Here is a 25,405-nt window from a genome sequence, read left to right as displayed (position 1 = left end):
CTTTTTCTTTCTTTTTTTTTTTTTTTTAGTAGAGACGGGGTTTCACCATGTTAGCCAGGGTGCTTTCGATCTCCTGACCTCGTGATCCACCTGCCTCGGCCTCCCAAAGTGCTGGGATTACAGATGTGAGCCACCGCGCCCAGCCAGGGTATTCTTAATAGGAGGTTACTTGGCTAGTCTTTTCCAGTTGTTAACATGGTTGGAGCCCACAGTAATCTGAGTAACATTGTCCTTATGTGTAGAGAATATAGAATTTCGATTAAGTGGAATACAAACTACTGTCAGATGAAATTTAGAGTGTTTAAAGAATGAAAAGTTGGAAGCCATACTTGACTGTGTGGAGTATCCAGCAATGAGTAGAAAAATATTTAGACCAGAGAAAAACATAGGTTTGGATCAAAACCCTCTCCTTCAATATATTAGAAGGCCCATGATATGGAAGAGGTATACTTTGTTATACAGAAAGCAGATTTGGGGTTAAAAAAGCTTTTTCACAGTTGGAGGATTAAACTGCAGAATAGATTGGCTTATAGTGGAGTAACTTGCTTATCACTGTAATACTCAAGTAGAGACTGGATAAACTGCTCTTATATAGAACACTATTACCCTCGTACCAGTTCTCTAGAGTATGAATCAGCAGTCAGCAAACTACAGCCCACTAGGCAATTTCCAGCTGACTGCCTAATTAATAAAGTTTTGTTGACTTAAAGCCACTCCTGTTAGTTTTCGTATTGTCCGTAACTACTTTTGTGCTACAGTGGCAGAGTTGAGTAGCTGAAATCAAGCCATATGGCCTGCAAAGTTAAAGTATTTGTGGTCTAGCCCTTTACAGAAGGTTTACCAATTTCTGCTGTAGAGCCAGGGGGAAATGATGTCAACCCACATACGTTTGGAAAGTAAAGTGGGTTAAGAAGAGTTCCTCAATCTCAAGGATGTCCAAATCATTTTCTTAATTTTCTTCAAAAAACTGTTTTTGACTTAAAATTTACATTTAGATTTTTAGTCCATCCTTCTTTTTTTTTTTTCTTTTTTTTTTCTTTTTTTTTTTGTCATTATCTGAATCTGGGATTCAGCTTTATTTTCTACTGGGTGGATAGCCAGTTGTTCCAGCACTATATGTGTGGTTCTGTGAGTAGATTTTTAATTATTAGGGAATGGATGTGAATGGAGAGAAAGGAGTGAGGAGAGGTAAACAGGAAAGCAATGTTTTAGAACAAAGTGATATTACATTAAATAACAGAGTTGGATAAGCACATAGTATGAGATAGTTATATTTCTATTAAAATAAATATATATACATTCTTTTATAAAATGAAAGGAAGGTCAAATACGACGTGATACCTTTCACTTTCTTTGTAAGCTTTCCTTGGCTTATTCTTTGACCCAGGTTGGTCCAGATGGTTTAATGAAGTTAAATGGCTCAGCCCTTAACAATGAATTCTTCACTTCAGCAGCCCAAGGCTGGAAGGAAAGACTCTCAGAAGGTAAGTGCTCTACTTAATGTGTCTCCCAGGTGGTGTGTGCACTCAGAGCACCTCTCTTCCTCATCAGGTAATTACGCAGTTTTGGAAGGTAAAGGACAGGATGTTTCCATAGGATAGAATTAACCATCATGTGTGGAACACGTTGTTAAACTTTTATCTAGAGCCTATGTTACCAGGTTAACACCACATGGAATCTAGCAATATGTTTCTTTAATGATATAAAGCTTCCAAGAAATTAAAAAATACAGATTTTTGGGCCCTGCTCCTAAAGATTCTGATTCAGCAATTCTACATTAATGCCTAGGAATTGAAATTGTATTAGGCTCCCTAATAAAAGTATAGAATTAGTCACTTTATGGTGCTCTGCATCCCAGTTTGGTAAGCAGTGAGATAATCTGTTTATTACTGCCTAGCCTCAATAAAACTAACAGTAAAAGCAATCAGTGAGAGCTTTTTAAAAGATCACTTCATTAAGGTATATTTCATATAATATAAAATTCAGCCATTTGAAATGGACAGTTAATTGGCAGTCAGAACATTGTAGTAAGTATGGATCATGACCAAGAATTACTGACTGTGATCACTGGTCTGCCATGTGTGCCATGCTTCTAGTGACTGATTGTGTGTGGGCACTGCATATAGTATCTGTCAGTACTAGCAGTTCTTCACCTCTACAGCTGAAAAACACCTGTGGTGTTTTTAAAAATACTGATGTGCAAACACCAGTGTCAATGATTTTGTTTTTATTGCTCTGGGTTAGTGTCAGAGCTTTATTGGTTTTGTTTGTTTGTTTCAAAGTTTTCCCAAACGATTCTAATATGCAGACATAAGTAAAACCACTGGCTGAATTATTTTTATTACATCTGTTTTTCAGTATACATGGAATAAAAAATAGCACTTGAAAAGTCGTATACCAAAGAATAGCCTAAAACAAGTATGAGAGACTTTAAAATATATACATTTGTAAGGAACGCATTAGGAATGCTCTTCATTGTTTATTTTCTGTCAGATCCCTACCAGTTAAAGTGAACAGCTAATATATAATCTAGATTGTTTCTTGAAATTGTTGACTTTTCCCATCCTCTTCTTTTAGAAGAAATTCTATGTAGAAGGGATCTCTTGCTCTGATTACTTTGTCCTTTCTCTTTCCTACAGATATTTTTGGGCAGAGACCCCTTTTTTTTTTTCTCAGAAAGATTAAAACATACCAGTTCTACCGGTACCTTTCTTTAAGAATAAATTGGTAAAGGATTTACTTCCTCAGCCCCCACTTTTTTGTAACTAGGTACTGTCAGCAATGATACTGCGATTATTATTATCAGTGTTACTTTTTTTTTTAACATGCAAGCAAGTGACTGCTGTACCTATAGTCATGTGATCATATTTTATGAACAACAACTTGGAACACTGTATATATGTGAACAGAGTCCAGTACATTTTATTCCTCATTTTCAGATACACAGTAGACTCAATAGCAGGAGTTCTGGGTTGGATTCTGACAGCCAAATCTCTCTTTTCCCAATCCTTTGCCCACGACTGTGATGTCCACGGTCCTCTAACACTTTTCCTCTCCTTCTTCTCACCCCCAGGAGGTCTTAAACTTCAAATTCTGCCATTTCTACCTCTTATTCCTTGATGTCCTGGGTATTAGAGTATAAAAGAGAGCAGTCTATCTGAGCCACAAGTTTGAAGATGGCCTACCAAGCACATTCACTGTTCTCTGCTGATGGAGTGGGAAGGATTGAGGTGGTTGGTAGTATATGCAAATAAATGGCATATTCAGAGCAGCTGGGTCTTTGGCATGTTGAGTATCTTCTTGCTAGAGCATTAGCCTGGTACAATTTGTGGAACAATTAGAAAACTGACAACTCCAGAATAACTCCCTACCTTTTTACTGGAATCTCGAATGCTAGGGCCATAGCTTTTCTTTATGCAGTTAGAGGTAAAAAGCCTAAAATTAACTTGCCTTGGAGAAACTGATCTTTAAAATAGTAAAAATGCCCAGTGGCATAGTTTATTGAAAGCACATCACTTTTTCTTTTAGTGGAAAATAAATTGGAAGTTCTAGGTAAGAGATAAAATAAATCTGTATGGAGTGTGATGCTTGGAGCGTGAGGAAGGTACCACAGGGAAGCCCAGCGAAAAGGCTTTGTCAGCCTCAGCTGAGTACTGAAAGCTACCTGGAGTGGTGTGCAAACATATTTTTATTTCACCTAATGGCATTTAGGTCCTCCTTTACAGTGAGGAGGTTTGAGGAGTTTCTGTTACTTTCACATGGTAGTATTCCAATTCCTGCGTGAGTCTTTCATGATTTATAAATAGTTACATGTTGCAAATAGCATTTTTCTATTGAATATCCTTTTTTGGGTACATTGCAGGTGAGTTTACACCTGAGATGCAGGTGAGAATTCGACAAGAGATTGAGAAGGAGAAAAAAGTGGAGCCATGGAAAGAACAATTCTTTGAAAGCTACTATGGGCAGAGGTAATATTAGGACAGGTTCTATAAACCAAATGTTAATTCCTACATATAAGTCATGTAGTGCTTTATCTCATTACCTTCTCAGAAAATCTAGGCCCCAGTTTCCTTCTGTTTTGTTTTATTTTGTTTTTTTTTTTGTCTCACTGATTCTTCTTTAGGAAGAAGTTTTTTTCTTATTATGAATCACGGGTTCACAGAATTAGATTACTCATCATACTTTACCCTTAAAACTGTCATTGTAGGTGAAATGGCTTCTTTAAAAACAAATTTTTTAGCTGGGCGCAGTGGCTCACACTATAACCCCAGCACTTTGGGAGGCCGAGGCGAACTCCTGAGGTCAGGAGTTCGAGACCAGCCTGACCAACATGGTGAAACCCCGTCTCTACTTAAAAAAATACAAAATTAGTTGGGCGTGGTGGTGCATGCCTGTGATCCCAGCTACTTGGGAGGCTGAGGCAGGAGAATCGCTTGAACCTGTGAGGCAGAGGTTGTGGTGAGCCAAGATGGTGCCATTGCACTCCAGCCTGGGCAAAAAGAGCAAAATTCCATCTCAAAAAAAAAAAAATACATTTCTAAAAAAACTTTGAATTAAGAGTCCCTTTCTTTGAAAAGATTGGTTTTTCTTCTGGTTACTTTATAAGATAGAAGAATATTGAAGTTCTTTAGTTCTTTTTTTTTTTTTTCTTTTTTTGAGACAGAGTTTCACTCTTGTCGCCCAGGCTGGAGTACAGTGGCGCAATCTCAGACTCACTGCAACCTGTGCCTTCTGGTTTCAAGCAATTCTGCCTCAGCCTCCTGAGTAGCTGGGATTACAGGCGTGTACCACCACACCTGGCAAATTTTGTATTTTTAGTGGAGTTGGGGTTTCACCATGTTGGCCAGGCTGGTCTCGAACTCCTGACTTCAGGTGATCTGCCCTCCTCGGCCTCCCAAAGTGCTGGGATTACAGGTATGAGCCACCACTCCGAGCCAGAATACTGAGGTTCTGTCCACTTTTTATAGTAGTTAATTATCCCAAAATGTAGCTATCCAGAATCACTAAGGAATCTTAGGAATTTTGTAATGTGGACTATTAGAACCAACCTGTAATTAAAGAGCCTCTCCTCTGTAAAAGGCACTCTGGGAGATGTACATAGCTGAATCAAGATATAAATTCTGTTTAAAAGAGGCTGTAGCCTAAATCAGTTTTTCCCCCCCAACAAAAGATCCAACAGTGAAATTATAATGGGACATTTAAATAGATGGTAATGGAGATGTTCTGTTTGAAATAGGATTGAACACTTGGACTCCTACTTGTTAGTCTCCCTTCCTTCCTTCTGCACACCAATGGCAGCCCTTAAGAAGACCCGTAACCACAGCTTGAAAACTAAGTTCTCCTTTTCCTTGTCTCCAAGTAGTATTTATCCATCTCCTTCACAGTCATTTAGGAAATATTCCTATTGAGATTAAGAGTTCCATAAACTGCGGCCAGTTGCGGTGGCTCACACCTGTAATCTCAGTGCTTTGGGAGGCTGAGGTGGGCGGATCACTTGAGCCCAGGAATTCGAGACCAACTTGGGCAACATGGCAAAACCACATCTCTAAAAAAAATACCAAAAAATTAGCTGGGTGTAGTGGTGCGTACCTGTAGACCCAGGCTCAGGTGGAAGAATCGTTTAAACCTGGGAGGCGGAGGTTGCAGTGACCAAGATTACGCCATTGCACTCCAGCCTGGGCGACGAAGTGAGACCTTGTCTCAAAAAAAAAAAGAGTTCTATAAACTGATTTTTCTATATTTTTGGTATGAGCATTGAGCTATAGAAGTGATGTTTGGTACATTTAGACCATTATTGCAGGTAGCAGTAATTCTACAAATATTTGTTCATTCCCTCCTTTTTTTTCTCTTTTTCTTTTTTTTTTTTCAAAGACAGGGTCCCACTCTGTCCCTCAGGCTGGAGTGCAGTGGCACAATCACGGTTCACTGTAGCCTTAATCTCCCGGGCTTAGGCAGTCCTTCCACCTCAGCCTCCTGAGTAGCTGGGACTCCAGGTGCATGCCACCACACCCAGCTAATTATTGTATTTTTTGTAGGAGTGGGGTTTTGCCCTGTTGCACAGGCTGGTTTCAAACCCCTGTGCTCAAGCGATCTGCCCACCTCCCAAAGTGCTGGGATTACAGGCATGAGCCACTGTGCCTGGCCCATTCCCTCCTTCTTAAGCAGATAGAGGATTACAACAGTTCGTGGGTCTTTCTATTTTCAACTATTACTTTTTGTCAGCTTTTATAGAAAGACTGTTTTTGATTATTGCCCAGTTTTGTCCCTAACCATTCCATCTCAGAAGCACAGTACTGACTCTTTGAAGTCACCAAAGAAGGCTCATTGATTTTACATGTTGTACAGTATTCTAAAACATTAAGAAGAGTCACTAATGACCTTTACAGATTAGCCTAGCTTTTAGCCAAGCCACATTATGGATATCTCAATGGAACTATACCCTCAGAATAGCTTAGAGACACTCGATCTCAGAATTTTAGAGCTAAACCAAGTGGGATTTAAATGGGCTTTCCAAAACTCAGCTATAATTCTCAGCCTCTATAGAACATTGACAGCCAGCTGTCTCCTCAGGTCCTCTTAGATTTTTTGGGCCTGGGTTTGCACAGATATTGCAGAGAAGAGTTGACCACAATCACAGGGTGGAAGGGTCTTGGGCTTCCTTCAGTTCCCTTGCAGGTAGTCTGTGATGCATGCGTCCAGACAATGTGGCCCCTCTATAAGCAGAAGTAATAATAACTACTATTACTGAACTTTCATTATGTGTTAGGCAAGTACTTTATATGGATTAACTTAATTATCATAGCAACACTATGAAGTAATTAAACCTAGTGTACAATTGAAGAAACTGAAGTAAAGAAGGCTAGTCATTTACTTAATATCACACGGACGGTAGGTATCAGAGCCAGAATTTGAATCCAGGCACTCTGACTCCAGAACTTTCACTACTACTAATAGTGAAGATAATACATGAATACCTGCTGTGTCAGGGGTTCTCCTAGGCATTGTCATCTTCCATTATCTCTATTAATGAATGCTTTCGCAACATGGGCTATTTTTCAACTGGAATATTTCTTTTTTCCCCTTTTTAGTTCTGGCCTGAGCCTTGAAGATTCTAAGAAATTGACAGCTTCTCCCAGTGATCCCAAAGTAAAGAAAACCCCAGCTGAACAACCAAAATCCATGCCTGTGTCAGAGGCCTCTCTTATCAGAATAGTTCCAGTAGTCTCCCAGTCAGAGTGTAAAGAAGAAGCATTGCAAATGTCATCACCAGGCAGAAAAGAAGAGTGTGAAAGCCAAGGTGAAGTGCAGCCGAACTTCTCCACATCTTCAGAGCCCCTGCTTTCCTCAGCTCTCAATACACATGAGCTTAGCAGCATTCTTCCCATCAAGTGCCCAAAGGATGAGGATCTCTTGGAGCAGAAGCCAGTCACCTCTGCTGAACAGGAATCTGAGAAGAACCATCTCACCACAGCTTCTAATTATAACAAAAGTGAAAGCCAAGAATCTTTAGTTACATCGCCAAGCAAACCCAAGAGTCCTGGGGTTGAAAAACCAATAGTGAAGCCCACAGCAGGAGCGGGTCCACAGGAGACTAATATGAAAGAACCTCTAGCAACTCTTGTTGATCAGAGCCCAGAAAGCCTCAAGAGGAAGTCTTCCCTCACCCAAGAAGAGGCCCCTGTGAGCTGGGAGAAGAGGCCACGTGTCACTGAGAATCGCCAGCACCAGCAGCCATTTCAGGTCTCACCACAGCCCTTTCTCAATAGAGGGGACAGAATCCAGGTGCGAAAAGTACCACCTCTCAAGGTAAGAGAATGGAGAGAATTAGAAAAGCAGAGATCGTCTGAACCCTATGTTTTTGGTCATACCTACTAAATTTCAAGTAAATTGTGGTAGTTCTTAATGCAGAAGCAGTTGGATATATTTGATAAATATGTAACTATGGTCTTACACAAATAAAATGATAGATGGGCATTTAGAACTGCAGTCCTACATACAGGTCTTTACTGATGTTTGCATAAGGAAGGTACCTGGGCATCTAATGTAAACCACCCCTGTGCTCACTACTTGAGCTCAGAGGCACCTGATCTCAGACTCTTAGACCAAATATAATTTAAATGGACTTCCAAAAACTTAGTTATAATTCTCAGCCTCTGTAGAACATTGACAGCCAACTGTCCTACTGTCTCCTCAGGACCTCTTAGATTTTTTGGGCCAGGGTTCACGCAGATATTGCAGAGAAGAGTTGATCACAATCCCAGGGTGGAAGAGTCTTGGGCTTCCTTCGGTTCCCCTACAGGTAGTCTGTAATGCATGCTTCCAGACCATCATGAAAATTATTGACAAAATAAGAAATGTGAGACTAAGCATGAGGAGACTATTGGTGTAATCAAAGGATCCTATCTTTGTACCAAGAGCCATGGTATTTGAGTTTACCCTTTTCTTGCTACCATAACTGACTTGATGTTCTGTGAATCAGGAACTACCTTTAGCTCCCTCCTATTAAAGGAAATATGTGTAGCTGTCTTCTGTCACTACTGGTTACTTGAGGGACACTAGTAACATGGAATAGTCTTGGTAAGCTCTGCTGCTTAGCATGTGATTAACTTCCAGTTAGCCTTGTATTGCTGCATGTCAAATCTTTCAAATTCTTCTAGGTAGTATCTTTGACTGTCTTAATATACAATGCCTTTTAAAACCCAAACACATTTTTACTTCTGATCTTAAAGGTTTATTAATACTTGGGCTTGTGCTTAATATCAGCTTGCAGTTCATTCATTTAATAAATAGTGTTTATTTTTCTTACCAAGGAATTTAAGAGGCAACGCACTGAATATTACTCATTAGGATATAAATGGAAAAATAAGACTAGTAAAAGTACTTTTTCCCCCTTTTTATTTAACTGAGGTGAACCAAAATTAGTTCTGTCAGGAAGTATTCCTTGGAAAGATTCACTTACCAGAACTTGACCCATTCTCATTGTATTTTTTTTTTTTTTAACGGAGTCTCGTTCTGTTGTCCAGGCTGGAGTGCAGTGGCACAATCTTGGCTCACTGCAGTCTCCACCTCCCAGGTTCAAGCGATTCTCCTGCCTCAGCCTCCTGAGTAGCTGGGATTACAGGCATGCACCACCATACCTGGCTAATTTTTGTAATTTTATTTTTTAGTAGAGATGGGGTTTCACCATGTTGGCCAGGCTGGTCCCAAACTCCTGACCTCAAGTCATCTGCCCTCCTCTGCCTCCCAAAGTGCTGGGATTACAGGCGTGGGCCACCGTCTGTACTTCCTATTACTTTTTTATTCATTGCTTGTTTTTTGCCCCCCAAGATGGAGTCTTGCACTGTCGTCCAGGCTGGAATGCAGTGATGCAATCTTGGCTCACTGCAGCCTCCACCTCCCGGATTCAAGGGATTCTCCTGTCTCAGCCTCCCAAGTAGCTAGGATTATAGGCATTAAGCCACGACGCCTGGCTAATTTTTGTATGTTTACAAATAATTATTTGTAAAGGGGTCTCACCGTGTTGGCCAGGCTGGTCTTGAACTCCTGACTTCAAGATCCACCTGCCTCGGCCTCCCAAAGTGCTAGGGTTATAGGTGTGAGCCACCACGCCTGGCCAATTCATTGCTCTTTAAAATTGGTGATTTTAGCACTTACGAATCTATGGGGGTTTTTTCTTATTTTTTTTTCTACCATTAACATGCATCGCCAGAGATTCTGATTTTTATTATAATCACTTTTACTATTCTTTCTTATAAAAATATTAGAAACTTTTCTTCAATGTCATTCACAGCTTATCTCCAGACCTGAGAGCTGAGTAACTGTTTAGGTTTTGCTATAAATGTTGCTAAGACCCATCATTTCTATTTTCTCACCTGTAAACAGGCTGGGTTACATCATATTCTGTCTGCTTTCTGCTAGTCCAAAGGGATTACACAGAAACTTTAATCCACTGTGACCAAGTTAATATAATTTTACTTTTTTCAGTTCTTTTCCTTTCTTCTCCCTCATCTCCCTCAAAAAAGACTTCTCCAGAAGTGTCTTTAGTAACTCTCTTCTCTTAGACCCTATCTCAAATACTGCTTTCTTAGACAAAGTTTAATGTAATTTATAACAGAACAAAACCTTTTAAACAAAATTTAAGTAGAAAACAAAATTCACAATGTAGTAGTAGAAAACAAAATTCACAATGTAGTATAAATGTTATAACTTAGTTACAACTTTTATATATATACAAATGTATATAAAAACTATATATACACACATGCACATTATATGTTTTACATTCCCTATACAGTCAGCCCTCTGTATCAGCAAGTTCCACATCCTCAAGGTTAATGCAGTATTTTCAACCAACCACCTATCGCAATATTTGGAAAAGAAAATTAAATACAAATGTAAAAATACAGTATAACAATTTATATAGCATTTACATTATGTTAGGTGTTATAAATAATCTAGAGATGACTTAAAATATATGGGAAGATATGTGGAGGTTATCTGCAAATACTACGCCATTTTATATAAAGGACTTGAGCATCCTCAGATTTTGATATCCTCTGGGGTCCTAGAACCAATCCCCCATGGATACCAAGGGATGACTGTACACTTAAAAAGAAAAGGATTGAATCTCTCTGCTCTCCCGGGGTAGGGCTTCTCAGTAAATTAAATTGTTATCAATGCCTGGACAGCTTTGGTTTTGTACTTAAAAAGAAATATGATTTATTTTGCATAATCAGGTAATAGGGCTATTTACGTAAGTAACTGAAACTTATTTTTAGGTATCGAAACCTTTCATTTTAACCACTTATAATGGTTGTTCTTATTTGATTTCAACATGTTATTAATGATTGTGTTATTATGATAGATATGATGTATTATGTTAGGTATAGAGTTACTCTCACGAGTATTCTTATGTAAAGTTGTTTGTCCCTATATAAATTCCCCTAAACACCTTTCTTGTATTTACTTTTTTAGTTTTATCTTTTTTTTTTTTTTCATTTTTTCCCCTGCAGTTTCTTTCATATGATATAAATAAGGGACAATAACTGCTTCTTTCTTACTGTAGGCAGCCTCTAAAATGCTATGTGATGAGTAAATATACTATCTAGGCTTGTTCGAATTGGATGTGAAATAGATTTAGCTCTTAGAGAGATTAAATAGGTTTCCTGATGTAAAATATATACTCTGTGACACCTGTTATGAAGTCCCATGGCTCTAACTTCGGAATTAGAGAATCAGTTTTTGAGGACTACTGACCTTTTGAGAAATGAGTATTGCAAATAATGAAAAATGTTTAGTGACTTTATTATTCTTAATTTAAAAACATTAAGAAAAATGGCATGCATTTTCTTAGGGTTTAGTGGGTTAATTTTTTTTTAATTAAATGCTTTAGAACATCTTAACAGTTATTTGCTCCTTTAAACTCAACCAGTTACTAGAAGAGTCCACATCTTGTTGAATTATTAGTAACTCTAATAGCTTTCAAAGTATTGTTCAGGACAGAAGGCAGATTTGTTTCAGACATGATGATTTTATGGTATGAAAATCATTGGTTTCAGCCAGGCGTGGTGGCTCACGCCTGTAATCCCAGCACTTTGGGAGGCCGAGGTGGGTGGATCACTTGAAGTCAGGAGTTCGAGACCATCCTGGCCAACATGGTGAAACCCCATCTTTACTAAAAATACAAAAAAATTAGCTGGGTGTGGTGGCAGGCACCTGTAATCCCAGCTACTCGGGAGGCTGAGCCACAAGAATCACTTGAACCCAGGAGGCAGAGGTTACAGTGAGCTGAGATTCTGCCACTGCACTCCAGCCTGGGTGACAGAGTGAGACTGTCTCAAAAAAAAAAAAAAAAAAAAAAGAAGGAAATCAATGGTTTCAAACCTGATAGACATCAGAATCTCACAAGTAGCTTTTTAGAAACTTTTTTTTTTTTTTTTTTTGAGCTGGAGGCTCCCTCTGGAGTCACTGTGTTGGCCAGGCTTTTTCAGGCTGGGTGCTGTGGCTCATGCCTGTAATCCCAGCACTTTGGGAGGCCGAGGCAGGTATATCACAAGAGGTCAGGAGTTCAAGACTAGCCTAGCCAACATGGTGAAACCCCATCTCTACTAAAAATACAAAAGTTAGCCAGACGTGGTGACCCACACCTGTAATCCCAGCTACTCGGGTGGCAGACGCACAAGAATCACTTGAACCCAGGAGACTGAGGTTGCAGTGAGCCGAGATCACACCACTACACTCCAGCCTGGGAGACAGAGCAAGACCCTATCTAAAAAAAAAAAAAAAGACTTCCTAGGGTCTTGGGGGTTCTGATTTGTAATTTTTTGGGATAGGACCCAGAGCATATATATTTTAAAATTGCGCAAGTAAATATAATACCAGCCAGAGATGAGAATGGCTGGCAAACATTATGTACATACTCCTTTATGTGTATGGGCATGGTGGGGGCTCCTATAGATCACACATTGTCTTCCTTCCAGTGCTGTCTAGAAGCCTGTGTAATTTGAGATAATCCAGCCCAAGTGTGTGTGTGTGTGTGTGTGTGTGTGTGTGTGTGTGTGTGTGTGGAACAGAGAAGAGCAAGTATTTTCCCCTGGACCTTGGTAGTAAAGCTAAGAACTAAAAGACAGTAGTGGTATGGGTGGCTGGCTTGCTTGCTTTTCTCTTCTTTCTCAAACATAAATACACTTTTTAAAAATGCAAATACCATAGAAAACTTTGTATCATAATAAGCACTTGTAATAGTGGCATTAGGAGGGAGTTGAGATAGGAAAAGAGGTGTGGGGATTTGGGGTGAGAGTGGAAGCAGTCGTCTTTGGCACCAATAGAAAAAGTGGATGCAAGGACCCTAGAGACAAACTAGTATTGCTGTCTCCAAGGTTTGGCCTCTCGGCCATAGACCACCCATGTTTGTCACAGGTACTGTAGTGTTCATCTGTTTTTAAAATGTGAGGGCTAATGAAGTTTTGTTATTCTTACAAATGAAAACTAAGCTCTGTTGTTTTTTTCCCCTCTACTTCTTTCAGATCCCGGTCTCCAGAATCTCCCCCATGCCGTTTCATCCATCGCAGGTCTCTCCCAGGGCTCGTTTTCCAGTCTCCATCACTAGTCCTAACAGAACAGGAGCCAGAACTCTTGCAGACATCAAAGCAAAAGCCCAACTGGTCAAAGCACAGAGGGCAGCAGCTGCCGCTGCCGCCGCAGCTGCTGCAGCCGCCTCAGTTGGAGGGACCATTCCAGGACCTGGCCCAGGGGGTGGACAAGGTCCAGGAGAGGGTGGTGAAGGGCAGACTGCTAGAGGAGGCAGTCCAGGCTCAGACAGAGTCAGTGAAACTGGAAAGGGCCCCACACTGGAACTGGCAGGAACTGGAAGCAGGGGAGGTACGAGAGAGCTTTTACCCTGTGGTCCAGAGACTCAGCCCCAGTCTGAGACCAAGACCACCCCAAGCCAGGCACAGCCTCATAGTGTCTCTGGAGCACAACTACAGCAAACCCCCCCAGTGCCTCCAACACCTGCCGTCAGTGGAGCATGCACAAGTGTCCCATCACCAGCCCACATAGAGAAATTGGATAATGAAAAACTGAACCCCACCAGAGCAACAGCCACAGTGGCCTCTGTCAGCCATCCACAAGGGCCCAGTAGTTGCAGACAGGAGAAAGCACCTTCTCCAACAGGTCCTGCTCTAATCTCAGGTGCCTCACCTGTTCATTGTGCAGCTGATGGCACAGTTGAGCTCAAAGCAGGTCCTAGTAAGAATATACCTAACCCTTCAGCCTCATCAAAGACAGATGCTAGTGTGCCAGTGGCTGTAACTCCCTCCCCTTTAACATCTTTATTGACCACAGCCACTTTAGAAAAGCTTCCTGTACCCCAGGTCAGTGCAACTACAGCACCTGCTGGATCAGCTCCACCCTCGAGCACTTTGCCAGCAGCTTCTAGCCTTAAAACCCCAGGAACTTCTTTAAACATGAATGGACCCACTTTAAGACCAACCTCTAGTATCCCTGCTAATAATCCTTTAGTGACTCAGCTGCTTCAAGGCAAAGATGTTCCCATGGAGCAAATTCTGCCTAAACCTCTCACCAAAGTTGAAATGAAAACGGTTCCACTGACTGCAAAAGAGGAAAGGGGGATGGGAGCGCTCATAGCTACCAACACAACAGAAAATAGCACCAGAGAGGAAGTTAATGAGAGACAGTCCCATCCAGCTACGCAGCAGCAGCTGGGCAAAACCTTGCAAAGTAAGCAGCTCCCCCAGGTTCCAAGGCCCCTTCAGCTCTTTTCAGCTAAGGAGCTGAGGGACTCCAGCATTGACACACACCAATACCACGAAGGACTAAGTAAAGCAACCCAAGATCAGATCCTTCAGACTCTCATTCAGAGGGTTCGGAGGCAGAATCTTCTCTCAGTTGTGCCGCCCTCACAGTTCAACTTCGCTCACTCAGGTTTCCAGCTGGAAGACATCTCCACAAGCCAGAGGTTCATGCTGGGTTTTGCTGGCAGAAGGACATCCAAACCTGCAATGGCAGGGCACTACTTACTGAATATTTCTACCTACGGCCGGGGCTCAGAGAGCTTTAGGAGGACCCATTCTGTAAACCCTGAAGATCGTTTTTGTCTAAGCAGCCCCACTGAAGCCTTGAAAATGGGATATACAGACTGTAAAAATGCAACAGGAGAGAGTAGCAGCAGCAAAGAAGATGACACTGATGAGGAAAGTACTGGTGATGAGCAGGAATCTGTCACAGTGAAAGAGGAGCCCCAGGTTTCCCAGAGTGCTGGCAAGGGTGACACAAGTTCAGGACCTCACAGCAGGGAAACTCTATCTACCAGTGATTGCTTAGCTAGCAAGAATGTGAAGGCTGAGATACCATTGAATGAGCAAACCACTTTAAGTAAGGAGAATTACCTGTTCACTAGAGGCCAAACATTTGATGAAAAGACCCTAGCCAGAGATTTAATTCAGGCAGCACAGAAGCAGATGGCTCATGCAGTGAGAGGTAAGGCAATCCGTAGCAGCCCCGAGCTTTTCAGTTCTACTGTTCTTCCTCTGCCTGCAGACAGCCCCACCCACCAGCCCCTACTCCTTCCACCCCTGCAAACCCCGAAGTTGTATGGAAGCCCCACCCAGATAGGGCCAAGCTATAGAGGCATGATCAATGTCTCCACCTCATCTGACATGGACCATAACTCTGCTGTACCAGGTAGCCAGGTATCTAGCAATGTAGGTGATGTCATGTCATTTTCAGTGACTGTCACTACCATCCCTGCTAGCCAAGCTATGAATCCCAGCAGCCATGGCCAGACCATTCCTGTTCAGGCGTTCTCCGAAGAGAACAGCATAGAGGGCACGCCTTCGAAATGTTACTGCCGCTTGAAAGCCATGATCATGTGCAAAGGCTGTGGCGCTTTCTGCCATGATGATTGCATCGGCCCCTCCAAACTGTGCGTCTCCTGCCTTGTCGTTCGGTAATGAGACTAGAAAGAGATACACTGTAAAGGAGGGGGAAGGGAAGGGTTGACCAGTTGGGTTTTTTGCGTCCTTTTGGAATCACAGAAATAAACAAGTAGGTTTCAGTTGTCTTCAGAGACAAATGTTACTTAATCAGGAATACAAAGTACAGATTTTTTACATTTTAGAGGAAGAGCACCTTGTATAGTAAGTCTAAGTCAAGCAAGACTTTGTGAATTTGTGACAAGTTTGCACTTACAAAATCATGTAAATATGTCACATTTTGTTTAACATTATTTTTCCAAGTGTTTAGGTAATAATGTATTACTTTGAATTCAGATTAATGTTCTACTACTTGTGACTGAGAAAAGTTTAATGCCGGCATGGTAAAAGGAAGCTGTCTCCCTTCTGACATTTCCTAGGAAGCTAGGAAAAGGAAAGTGAAGGAATGGTCTAAAGAAATGACCATTCACACTGATTTTGTCTGGACAGTCTGGCCGCAGGTTATTCATAGATTATTCAGCCTTTGCAGGACTTGGATTCAGGGTTTTACTCAGTCCCTTTACCTTAGGTGGAATCTTCTTAAATTGAAATTTTTGGTAAGGAATTCATTTCACAGGTAGTGTTTCAGACTCTGAAAGCCCTGACTTGGTTCTTGGCTTCTACTGTACTAGTTACTAGTTACTGGTACTGTTGCCAAGCAATCTGCTTGGAATTTGTGGATCCCTGCTGTTCCCTAATCCCACCCCCTGCCCTGAGACAGTGAATGTAGTCCGTGAAGGGAGTGCCTCTCTGGGACCCCCTGTGTTGTTACAGGCTGTGCAGTGCAACAATTCCAGCAAAAATACCCTATCCCCGCACTTAGTCATTCGTGGTAACTAACAATTTTGAAATACTCATATAAAATGAACAGGAAAGTGTTAGTGATTGGGTGATTTGAGCTACATCTTGTTGAGCAAGGGGAGTGAAACCACAGAAACTGTTAAATTGAACGTAAATAACTTTGGAAAACAGTTTTGACACTAGAACAAGGTCGCTTCTCTTTTCCTCTTCTCTCCCAACCTGTTAACCTAGTGCTAGATAGTCAGCTGCTGTTGCAGGTAGAAAAGCTCACCAATGCCACATTTGTTCATTCTGTTCAACCTGTTTTGACCTCCCAGGCATCTGAACAGGATGACATCATCTTATTATATCTTACTTTACACATACGTGTATGTACACACACACACACAATACAAGACATTTTTCCTGTTTTAGAAAATATAGCCCTTGTTTGGATTACTGCTGTCTGAGCACTAGAAATTTCTAATGGAAAGAGGCCTCTGAATGGCTAAGGGAACATCTGGAAAGGAAGGAAAATGAGCCCTAAAGGTTTTTTGGTTGCTTGTTTTTGTTTCTTTTTCTTTCTTGTTTCCTTTTTTGTTTTTAAATCCTTCTCTAGTGACTGAAGAAATTGTGAGTACATAATATTTAGGTCATGGTTAAGGAACATTAAAATAAACCTGCAGTTTAACAGAATTTTGTATTAAATGGGGGAGTGTCAATTTGCATCATTTGCATATTGATTTCAAGTCTCCTAATTTGGAATGGGTAAAGTACAAATGTTAATGCAACATAGTACAGTTGTATTTGTCCTTCATATTCAGGATGTGATATTTACAAAATGCAGAACAGTTTAAACTTGTTAAGTCACATTCCAGATTAGGAGAAAATGGGCAATAATCATCTCTGTTTTGCCCCCATTCTACTACCCACCACTGCCCACCCCACCCCCACATCACACACTCTTCGATGCTTTCCCACAGCCCCTGCTCCGCTCCTCTCCGTAAGAAACTCACTTCACTGTTTTTCACTTTTCACTTCTGGCTTTTTTGTGGCCCAAGGCCAATATAGGATTAATATCTGTGTTCCAGCTTCAGCCAGAACGATATGTCTGTCCATCTTTCTCCTTTCTTCCAGCACACACAGCTAAGAGATAAGAAGGCTGCAAGGATTGGGGATAAGGAGTATATTTTCAAGCCAAGAACCAGTAGAAAACAGAAATAATGGTGCTCCCAAATATTCAGTACCTTGGGCAATCCAGGAAGGGTTTAAAGAGACCTGTTGCTGCATAGAACTCTCCCTGCCCTACCCCTTAACTCCACCTTAGTGCCAGGGCCGAGGGCTGGTCTGCATGCTGGAAGAGGTTGAGAGTTTTGGAATTGATTCCATGCTAAATGTCAGTTACCAGTTTGGATTGATGAAAGTGATTTTTCTGCTTTACCTTTTTCCTGTCAGAAAGGTTTTCCTCTGTGCTACCCTTAACTTAGGGATGAACAGACTATAACTAGGAAAGGAGGAAAGGTATCAGGGATTTTTAAGTCCGTTTAGAGAGCAAACCATATTGTGCCTCTTCATCTTGACCCAGGCTCTTATAGATAGGTCCTAAACATTGCTGTTCACTAGATTATCTTAACAAATAATACTCAGCTAAATATTTGCATTTAGGAATACTCCTAAAACAGATATTGCCAACTAGATACACTGCCTCAATCTTGACCAGACAAGAGAACAGTTAAGTTCTCTCAGTTGGGTAGTAACTTGAATACCAGTCTATTTATCAGTTGGTTTCAACACAGAGGTTTCAAGTGGAAAGCCATTCATCTTAAAAGCTGAACAGAAAAATTAAAAAAAAAAAAAACACATTACAATCTGGCCTTTTAGAAAATGAAGCAGTAGAAACAAAACCTTTATTAGTATGGTATTCCAGCAGCACCTTTAAAGCAATCTTTACCTTAGTTTTTTGAGTTGTTTTACCTTTCATCCCAATCTGAAAAGTTTTAATAAATGCTGAGCTTATTCTTAGGGTATGACCTGGCATTATTTCCAGTGACTAGTCAGGCATTATGCCTGATGCATACGCCTCCCGTGCACCCCTATCTAGCCTTCAGATGTCCTCCACTGCAGGTCACCCCAGGAGATAGCATCAATAATATAGTCTCAGTCTTGTTTATAAAGATTCTAAGTTGTCTAGTAAATAAGTCTCCCTGAATCTTAAATAATTTTGGAGAATTAGAATTCTCCATCCTATTAAACAGAAAGTAAAGCCAAATAGCCTGGAGTTGTTTGTCCTACTTGTTCCATAACCCCTATGCTCAAGATACTGAAGCTATCTGTGGTATTTCATGTAACATTTCTAAGAATAAGAGCTGGCAAATGGGAAACTTGGGGTGGAGAGAGCATACTTATTGGGCTGTGAAGGCATACGGATGTACATGTTTTAGAGCTTATCTCAGATTTAAATAGCCAAAGGAAGACCTCATTGCCTTCCAGGTGAAGGTGCAAAGTCATACATATTAATGACCTGACAGTTAACATTCTGTTGTTTATTATTGCCTTTCTCCACCTTAGAGAGCCATAAATAACTCTCTGGTGAAGTGATTTGCTATAATGGGGGTGAGGAGTGGGGAGACTTCTCTGGTCATTACACTGCTATTTATTTCTAGAACTCACTATCAGTGAGCAGTGCCAGAGTGTTTTCTCTTTGACCTAGAGGTTTCACATCATAGCAAGGAGGGAAAAGTCTCCCCATCTCCTTACAACTGTGTGCTAAGTAAGTAACTTGGCCAAGGGTAGTTTTCAGCTCAATTTATAGAATAGTCCAAAGAGACTTTGAGAAACATGGTGATAGGCAGGGGCCTTTCCTACCATGTTTCAATACCTACAAACCTATTGAAAGAGAACAGTAGGTAAAACATTTCCTAAAGTTGAAGCAATAGCTTCGTAGATTCTTGGTTACTTTATTTTTTTTAATGCTTTACATTTGATACAACTATTGAAGATCAATTTTAAAAATAGCTTTCCAGTAATATATTTTAAGTAATATATATTTTAATATCTGTAAAAAGTGACAGTGGAAGACTTTGAATTTCTCATATATGGTATGTTTGATGTAGGACCTCACTGTTAAGGCACAAATTATTTCAAAGGAAGTTACTCTAAAGACACTCAGATTATTTCAGAAAAATGCAATAAGGGGAATAGTTTTGGGGTTTATTTTTTATTTTAAAAGAAAATTGACTTATTTACCACAAGCTATTTTTTTCCCTTCTGGCTGTAAGGTTTGTACAGACTGGTTTGGTAAATGCTAAACTTTTGTGTCTTTTGCCTTTTTAAAGGAATTGTTAACATTGGAATTGAGGGTATGTACAGAGAAGTTGGTGTCAACACCATTTAAAAAGTCATATTTTTTCACAAATATAGAAAATCATTTTACATAAGAATTTTAAGTATTTGCAATAAATATATGTATATAGATTGTATGTATTCCTATATTCTTATTTTTCATTTTATTATTAAGTAAAAGATCATTAAAAGTGAAAATAAAAACCTTGGAGTTTTTTGGTGAATCTTGAGGTTTAACATACATCTGAGAGTGGCGTGGGTAAGAGTCCTCAGTTACTGCCTTATACTCCTATGGGATGGTTCCCACAGATTGTATGGAAGAGAGTAAAATGAGGAACTTGGTGATAAATCAGGGTAGTGTATTTCTTTTGGAATTTAAGTAAAACTGATTAAATTTTCCTTATCTGTCTGTCTCCATGTTTTCTCCCTTAATCTGTTTTGTCTCCTAACCCCCTAACATTACTGGAAAAGTGAAGAAATGCGGTGCAGCCTCTTTATTAATGTGCCCATTGTTTGCTCCTAAATCAAAGAATGGTAAGGAAATATCTCGGGGGAAAAAATAGGTTTTCCTTTCTCCACAGTGGTTGACATTTACTGCCACCACTTTCCAGGCCTTAGGGGAGTGTGAAGAAATAGTTTCTTGAAGATGATAGAAATTTTTTTTTTTCCGTTTCCCAGTTCTCTCAGAAGTGAGTTTCATAGCCAGTCATGTCCTTCCTGCCCGTCTAATCTGGAGAGGTCAAAGAGCAAGGAAAATAATGTGAAGAGAAACACCTGTGCCTTGATTAGGTTCTATTTCAGCATTTGACACTTGAATTTTGAACTCCTCTGGGTCAGGAAGGGTAGCTATGGAAATGAGGTCTGAGCCAGTTGGTAGGAGAGGTTGTCTATGTTCCCATACCGAGATTGCTGTCTAATCCACGAGAACTCATTTTGTGGCTGCAAAGTAAATACTTGATTTTAGGATATGATAGGAGCAAAATGGTGCCTACATCGTCTTTATAAAGAAAAGTATATAGCCCATTTTTTAACAAATGAATAATATATCGAATCATTGATGACCTAAAAGAAAAATTGTTAAGGTCAGATTTTCGAGAGTGTATCTTGATGACCCATAAAACTGACTTTTTATTGTAGTTCACTAGTTCCCATAATTGCCCAGCTGTGGTTACTTTCACTGAAAAGAAAAAATATATTTTGGAAGTTAATGTAAGGATACATTGGCTTTTTTTTTTTTTCTTTACATTGGCTTTTTAAAAGACAGTTTTTATTTTTCAGATACTGGAATGTCAAGTATCTGGGTTGTCCCAAGACGTTGGAGATAATTCAGCCTTCCAAGAGAACAGCAGTCTAGATCTTAGCTGAAAATGTGCTGTTTCTAAAGGAAGCTTCTTAAGTCTCAGGGGACATTAGCATCTTCATAATTTCCATATATAATAAGAATGAAGGTAAAATATTTAAATGTGTATAAACTAATCCATAATGACCATTTACAAAGATTGACTCCCCATTTCTGGTACATATTTATCATTATTTAGATGGGTCTCCTATCTTGTGGGAAGATAAATTTATATTCAGGTGATGACATGGGTGCCTGCAAGTAGAGTTGGTCTGCAGCTGAGGGAGAAGGCAACATACCAGAAGACAAGGCAGCTTCAACCTGGATCCCCAGCTACCCTTTATTTACTTCACTGAGTCAGAAACCCGTGTTCATTGCTTCTGAGACTACTTGACCTCAGCTGGTCTTTAGAAGTCTGGTAACTTTTTATGTACAAATCATGTTATTTACTAATTCAAGTATTTATAGAGCACCTACTGTGCACTAAGCACTAAAGTGCTGGTTATGCAAAGGTAAGCAAAAATAGTCATGTAAGTTGCAGAAAGGTTTTCCTAAAGTAGTGACTATACAGCATGTTTTTAGTTCTAGGCTCAAGGAGTAATACTACCTTTTTCCCAAGATAGGTTGAAAATTTAAATGAGTTATGAAATGGAAGTGTTTGAGACACTGGACACAGTAGTGGCAAATACATGAAGAAAGAAGGTCCCTAGATGAAAAAAGTGTGGAAATGAGGAGCCATATTAATAAAATGCACCTTTTTTGAGAACTATTGTTGGAATAGCTAAAGTTGTCTATAGAAATTTCAAGAAATCTCTTAACATCTAAATTAGAAGCAGGCCAACAGCAATCTCTGTCAGTAGTTAATTTAGGTCAGTAAGTTAGTGTTTTGTTAAACTAACCCTTTCAAACACAGTTGGGTAAATAATGCAGCTTTCCTGTCACTGTTCAAACCTAAAAGAAGCTAAAGGGAATTTTTCTTAAAACATGATTTTCATCTTATAGATGATAAGTAACTGTATCTCTTCATTTGGAATTGTTGCATCCCAGTTTTTCTCCATAATGGATAAAATTACTTTTGTGTCCTTTTCTATTCTAATGTAGAAGTGGCTTTTCCTTTTTTCTCTTGAGTCACAACTTGAATTAAAAAGGGCTTCAGCAGGACTCTAGCGCTTTTTAAAGAAGAATTTGGTGTATTCCACTATGTAACGTAGTCTCTGTCCAGGAACCAGGAGGATGAGTGTCCTCAGTTTTCCTAATACTTGGTAACATTTAATAATAGATTGAGTTTTGCTTTTGTTTTTCATAGAGACTGTATAGACTCTGTACTTCCATGTAACTTTCTGCCTTAACCTAAAAAGGCATTCCCTGGAAGGAGATCTTGTAACAGGAAGAAAAAGCGAAACCAGGAAAAGAGCCAGAAAGGATCAACTTGGAGATGGGCTGTGGCTAAATAGTGGGTTTTCCTGAAAAGTAACTGCAACCTTGCTTTTCGTGCTTCTTCAAACCCAAAAGAACCTAAAGGGAATTTTTAAAAATCCTGATTTTCTTCTTAATTGTAAAACCTAGAGGATGCCTTAGGGAGAAGAAAGATAACCTGGAATTTGGTTTTAAATGGATTTAAGTAAACTTTGAATTAAGTAGCTTATTCCATTTTTGAGAGATTTCTTTTTAAGATTTTAGATTCACTTAATGTAATGTTGAATTGCCATGAATGTAACCTGGAGTTTGATTTGAGACATTCTGTGGGATAAGGAATAGTTTTCTATTGAACTGTGGTGGCTTTTGCCACTAATCAGGATTTAGGGCTGTGCACCTCCATCTGTTAAGTGAAATGGAACTTGGCTTCCTAAACACTATATTAGACCAACTTGAGTCAATACTTTTATTAAGTTTAATCAGGGATTCTCAAAATATTTAGGATTCAAATTAGCCCAATTAGAAAGCAGTGCATTAAATGTTACCAAAATATCTGAAGATACTTTAGAACTATTTTACACAAAGCTTATGTCTTTCCTATGGAAAGTATCATACATAAAATTTTACATTCTTTTAAAAAACAGAATCTAATGTCTTCAGATACCTAGAGCTTGGAAATTATAATAGAGTTGGGCTTTGACCCGAAGTCAGCAGTTCTTTTCATTTTAGATTTTCAGGCAAGTTTCAGTAGTTTGGAGACTTCTTCAGTAGTGACCCCAGCTTAACCTACATATAATCACTTTGCACACATTTTAAGTTAATCAGATGCTTCCAGAGTCTTGGATTTGGTTACCCCTTTGTTAGATAAGGAGACAGATTCTAGGTTGGGACAAACATCTTAATTTATTCTCTAATAATAAAGTACTGATTAAAGAGCAAGTTCTCAGAGAATTCACAAAATTTCTAGAATCCATGAAAGATCTAGAGAACATAACAAATGAAACTCTAGAAATTTGAAAGAAAAAAAAACACTTAGCTGTAAGTGCTTTGACCTATTTTTTTTAAAAAAAAAAAACCTGTCTTAATTCTGTGACTGCATTGCACCCTTCACCAGCACTAAGAGAAGTCGGAATGGAAGAAATTACCGTATGTAATTCTTATTCACTTAAAATCTTTGTGCGCATAGGCCTTAGCACTTTGACAAATAAACTCTGCCTTTTAGCTCCTCACTATTGTCTTCTTTCCTGTCACTTTTAGGCTGTTTCATTGGTCGTATAAAAACAACCTTCTTCGAAGTTGAATGTATGTTTCTGCACATAGACAAACCATATTTTACTGACTCATTCTATGTTGAATAAAGGCATACAGTTTTACCCTAGCGACTATGCCTTTTCTTTTCCAAAGAAAGCAGACACCATGTGGAATGGCTTACCTGCTTGTTATCTAGTCCTCTGTGCACAGCTGTCCCTGGGTCCTAACTAAAGTTGGTATTACAGAGAGTGCTAATCTTGTCAGAAAACAAAGGGGGTTTAAGAACTCAACACGAGCCAGACAGTGTGTATCTTTCAGAAATGAAAAGGAAACCCATACTACAAAGCTGCAGTAATCACAAAGGTGTGGTCCTGGCATAAAGACAGACATATAAACCAATGGAATACAATAGCCCATTAATAACTGCTCACATACATGGTCAAGTGATTTTCAACATGAGCGCCAAGCTCAGTCAATGGGGAAGGGGCAGTCTTCAACAAGTGCTGTTGGGAAAATGTGATATCCACATGAAAAAGAATGAAGTTGGACCCTTACACAATATACAAAAATTAACTCGGGGAAAATTATGAAAGTCTTAGAAGAAAACGGAGAGTTTCACAATTGGATTTGACAATGATTTCTTGAATGTTATGCCAAAAGCATGGACAGCAAAAGAAAAATAAAACGGTTTTTAAATTGTGCTTCAAAGGACATTTCACAGAATGGGAGGATATATATATTTGCAAGTCATTTATCTGATAATATTGAAAATACATAAAGAACTCAAAAACAAAAAATGGGCAAAAGACTGGAATTGCACAAAGGGCCTTGTGCATTGCTGGTGAAAATGTTAAATACAGCCATTTTGGATAACAGTATGGTGGTTAAACCATACTCAAAAAATTAATTATGTGATCCAGCAATTCCATTTCTAGGTATACACCTCAAAGAAGTGGAAGCAGGGACGTGAACACATTTGTATGTCAATGTTTTTAGCATTGTTCACAGTCATAAGGTAGAAGCAACTCAAATGTTCATTGACAAATGGATAAACAAAATGTGAATATTAGCCTTATAAAAAAGAAAATGCTGTCATGCTACAACATGGATAAGCCTTGAAGACATGCTAAGTGAAATAGAGAAAAGGACAAACATTGTATGATTCCATTTATATCAGGTATCTAGCCAAATTCTTGGAGACACTAGAATGCTGGTTATCAGGGGCTGGGGAGTCAGGAAGGATTGGGGAGTTAATGTTTAATGAGTACAGAATTTCCATTGGGAAAGATGAAGAAGTTCTGGAGACGGACAGTGGTGATGGATGCACAACATTGTGAATGTACTTAATGCCACAGACCTGTATGCTTTAAAAATTGTTAATAAGTTTAATGTATATTTTACCACTTTTTTTTTTAAAGAAAACCAAGTGGATAGAGAAAACATTTTCTTCTCTGAACAAGCTGAAAAGGCTAAATTAAAAGCAGTTTGTTTAAGGAAATAACCAGCAGTTAAGAAAAAGTCTAGAGAAACTAGTAGTGATGTAAAAACCAGCCATCTGTCTTCGAAGGAAGCAAGGCTCTTAGAGACCATTTTGCAGTGACTTGGAAAAGTGTCATTGGACCTAAGAAGCTGCAGCCGAAAATGGAACCAACTAGAACATCCAGTACAACCAGGAACCCAGAATGTGGGATCTGACCCACAAGGTGGGATTGTGTGAGACCAGGAGTTCAAGACCAGCCTAGGGAACACAGACCCCATCTCTACAAAAATAAGAAATCATCCA

The 25,405-nt window shown here is 39.5% G+C and overlaps 1 protein-coding gene across 3 annotated transcripts in view, besides 1 other annotated feature; it reads left to right on the top strand.

Annotated features, from left to right (window-relative positions):
* ASXL2 (ASXL transcriptional regulator 2) overlaps positions 1–23,749 on the top strand; it is a 144,735-nt gene extending 120,986 nt beyond the window's left edge. For all 3 annotated transcript variants that reach the window (NM_018263.6, NM_001369346.1, NM_001369347.1), the window contains 4 exons: positions 1,388–1,484; positions 3,863–3,968; positions 7,089–7,806; positions 13,026–23,749. In NM_018263.6, the coding sequence (NP_060733.4) occupies positions 1,388–1,484; positions 3,863–3,968; positions 7,089–7,806; positions 13,026–15,473 (3,369 nt within the window). In that variant the 3' untranslated portion in view covers positions 15,474–23,749. The remainder of the gene's footprint in view (positions 1–1,387; positions 1,485–3,862; positions 3,969–7,088; positions 7,807–13,025) is intronic.
* Positions 13,329–13,829: an enhancer, noted in NCBI's record as "H3K4me1 hESC enhancer chr2:25966542-25967042 (GRCh37/hg19 assembly coordinates)". NCBI's record gives its function as "activates a minimal SCP1, AML or CMV promoter by ChIP-STARR-seq in naive H9 embryonic stem cells {active_cell/tissue: H9 hESC(naive)}" and the evidence as "EXISTENCE:reporter gene assay evidence [ECO:0000049][PMID:30033119]".

This window comes from Homo sapiens, chromosome 2 (genome assembly GCF_000001405.40).
Source record: "Homo sapiens chromosome 2, GRCh38.p14 Primary Assembly".
NCBI classification, from domain to species: Eukaryota; Metazoa; Chordata; class Mammalia; order Primates; family Hominidae; genus Homo; species Homo sapiens.
This window is presented reverse-complemented; position numbering and strand designations above follow the sequence as displayed.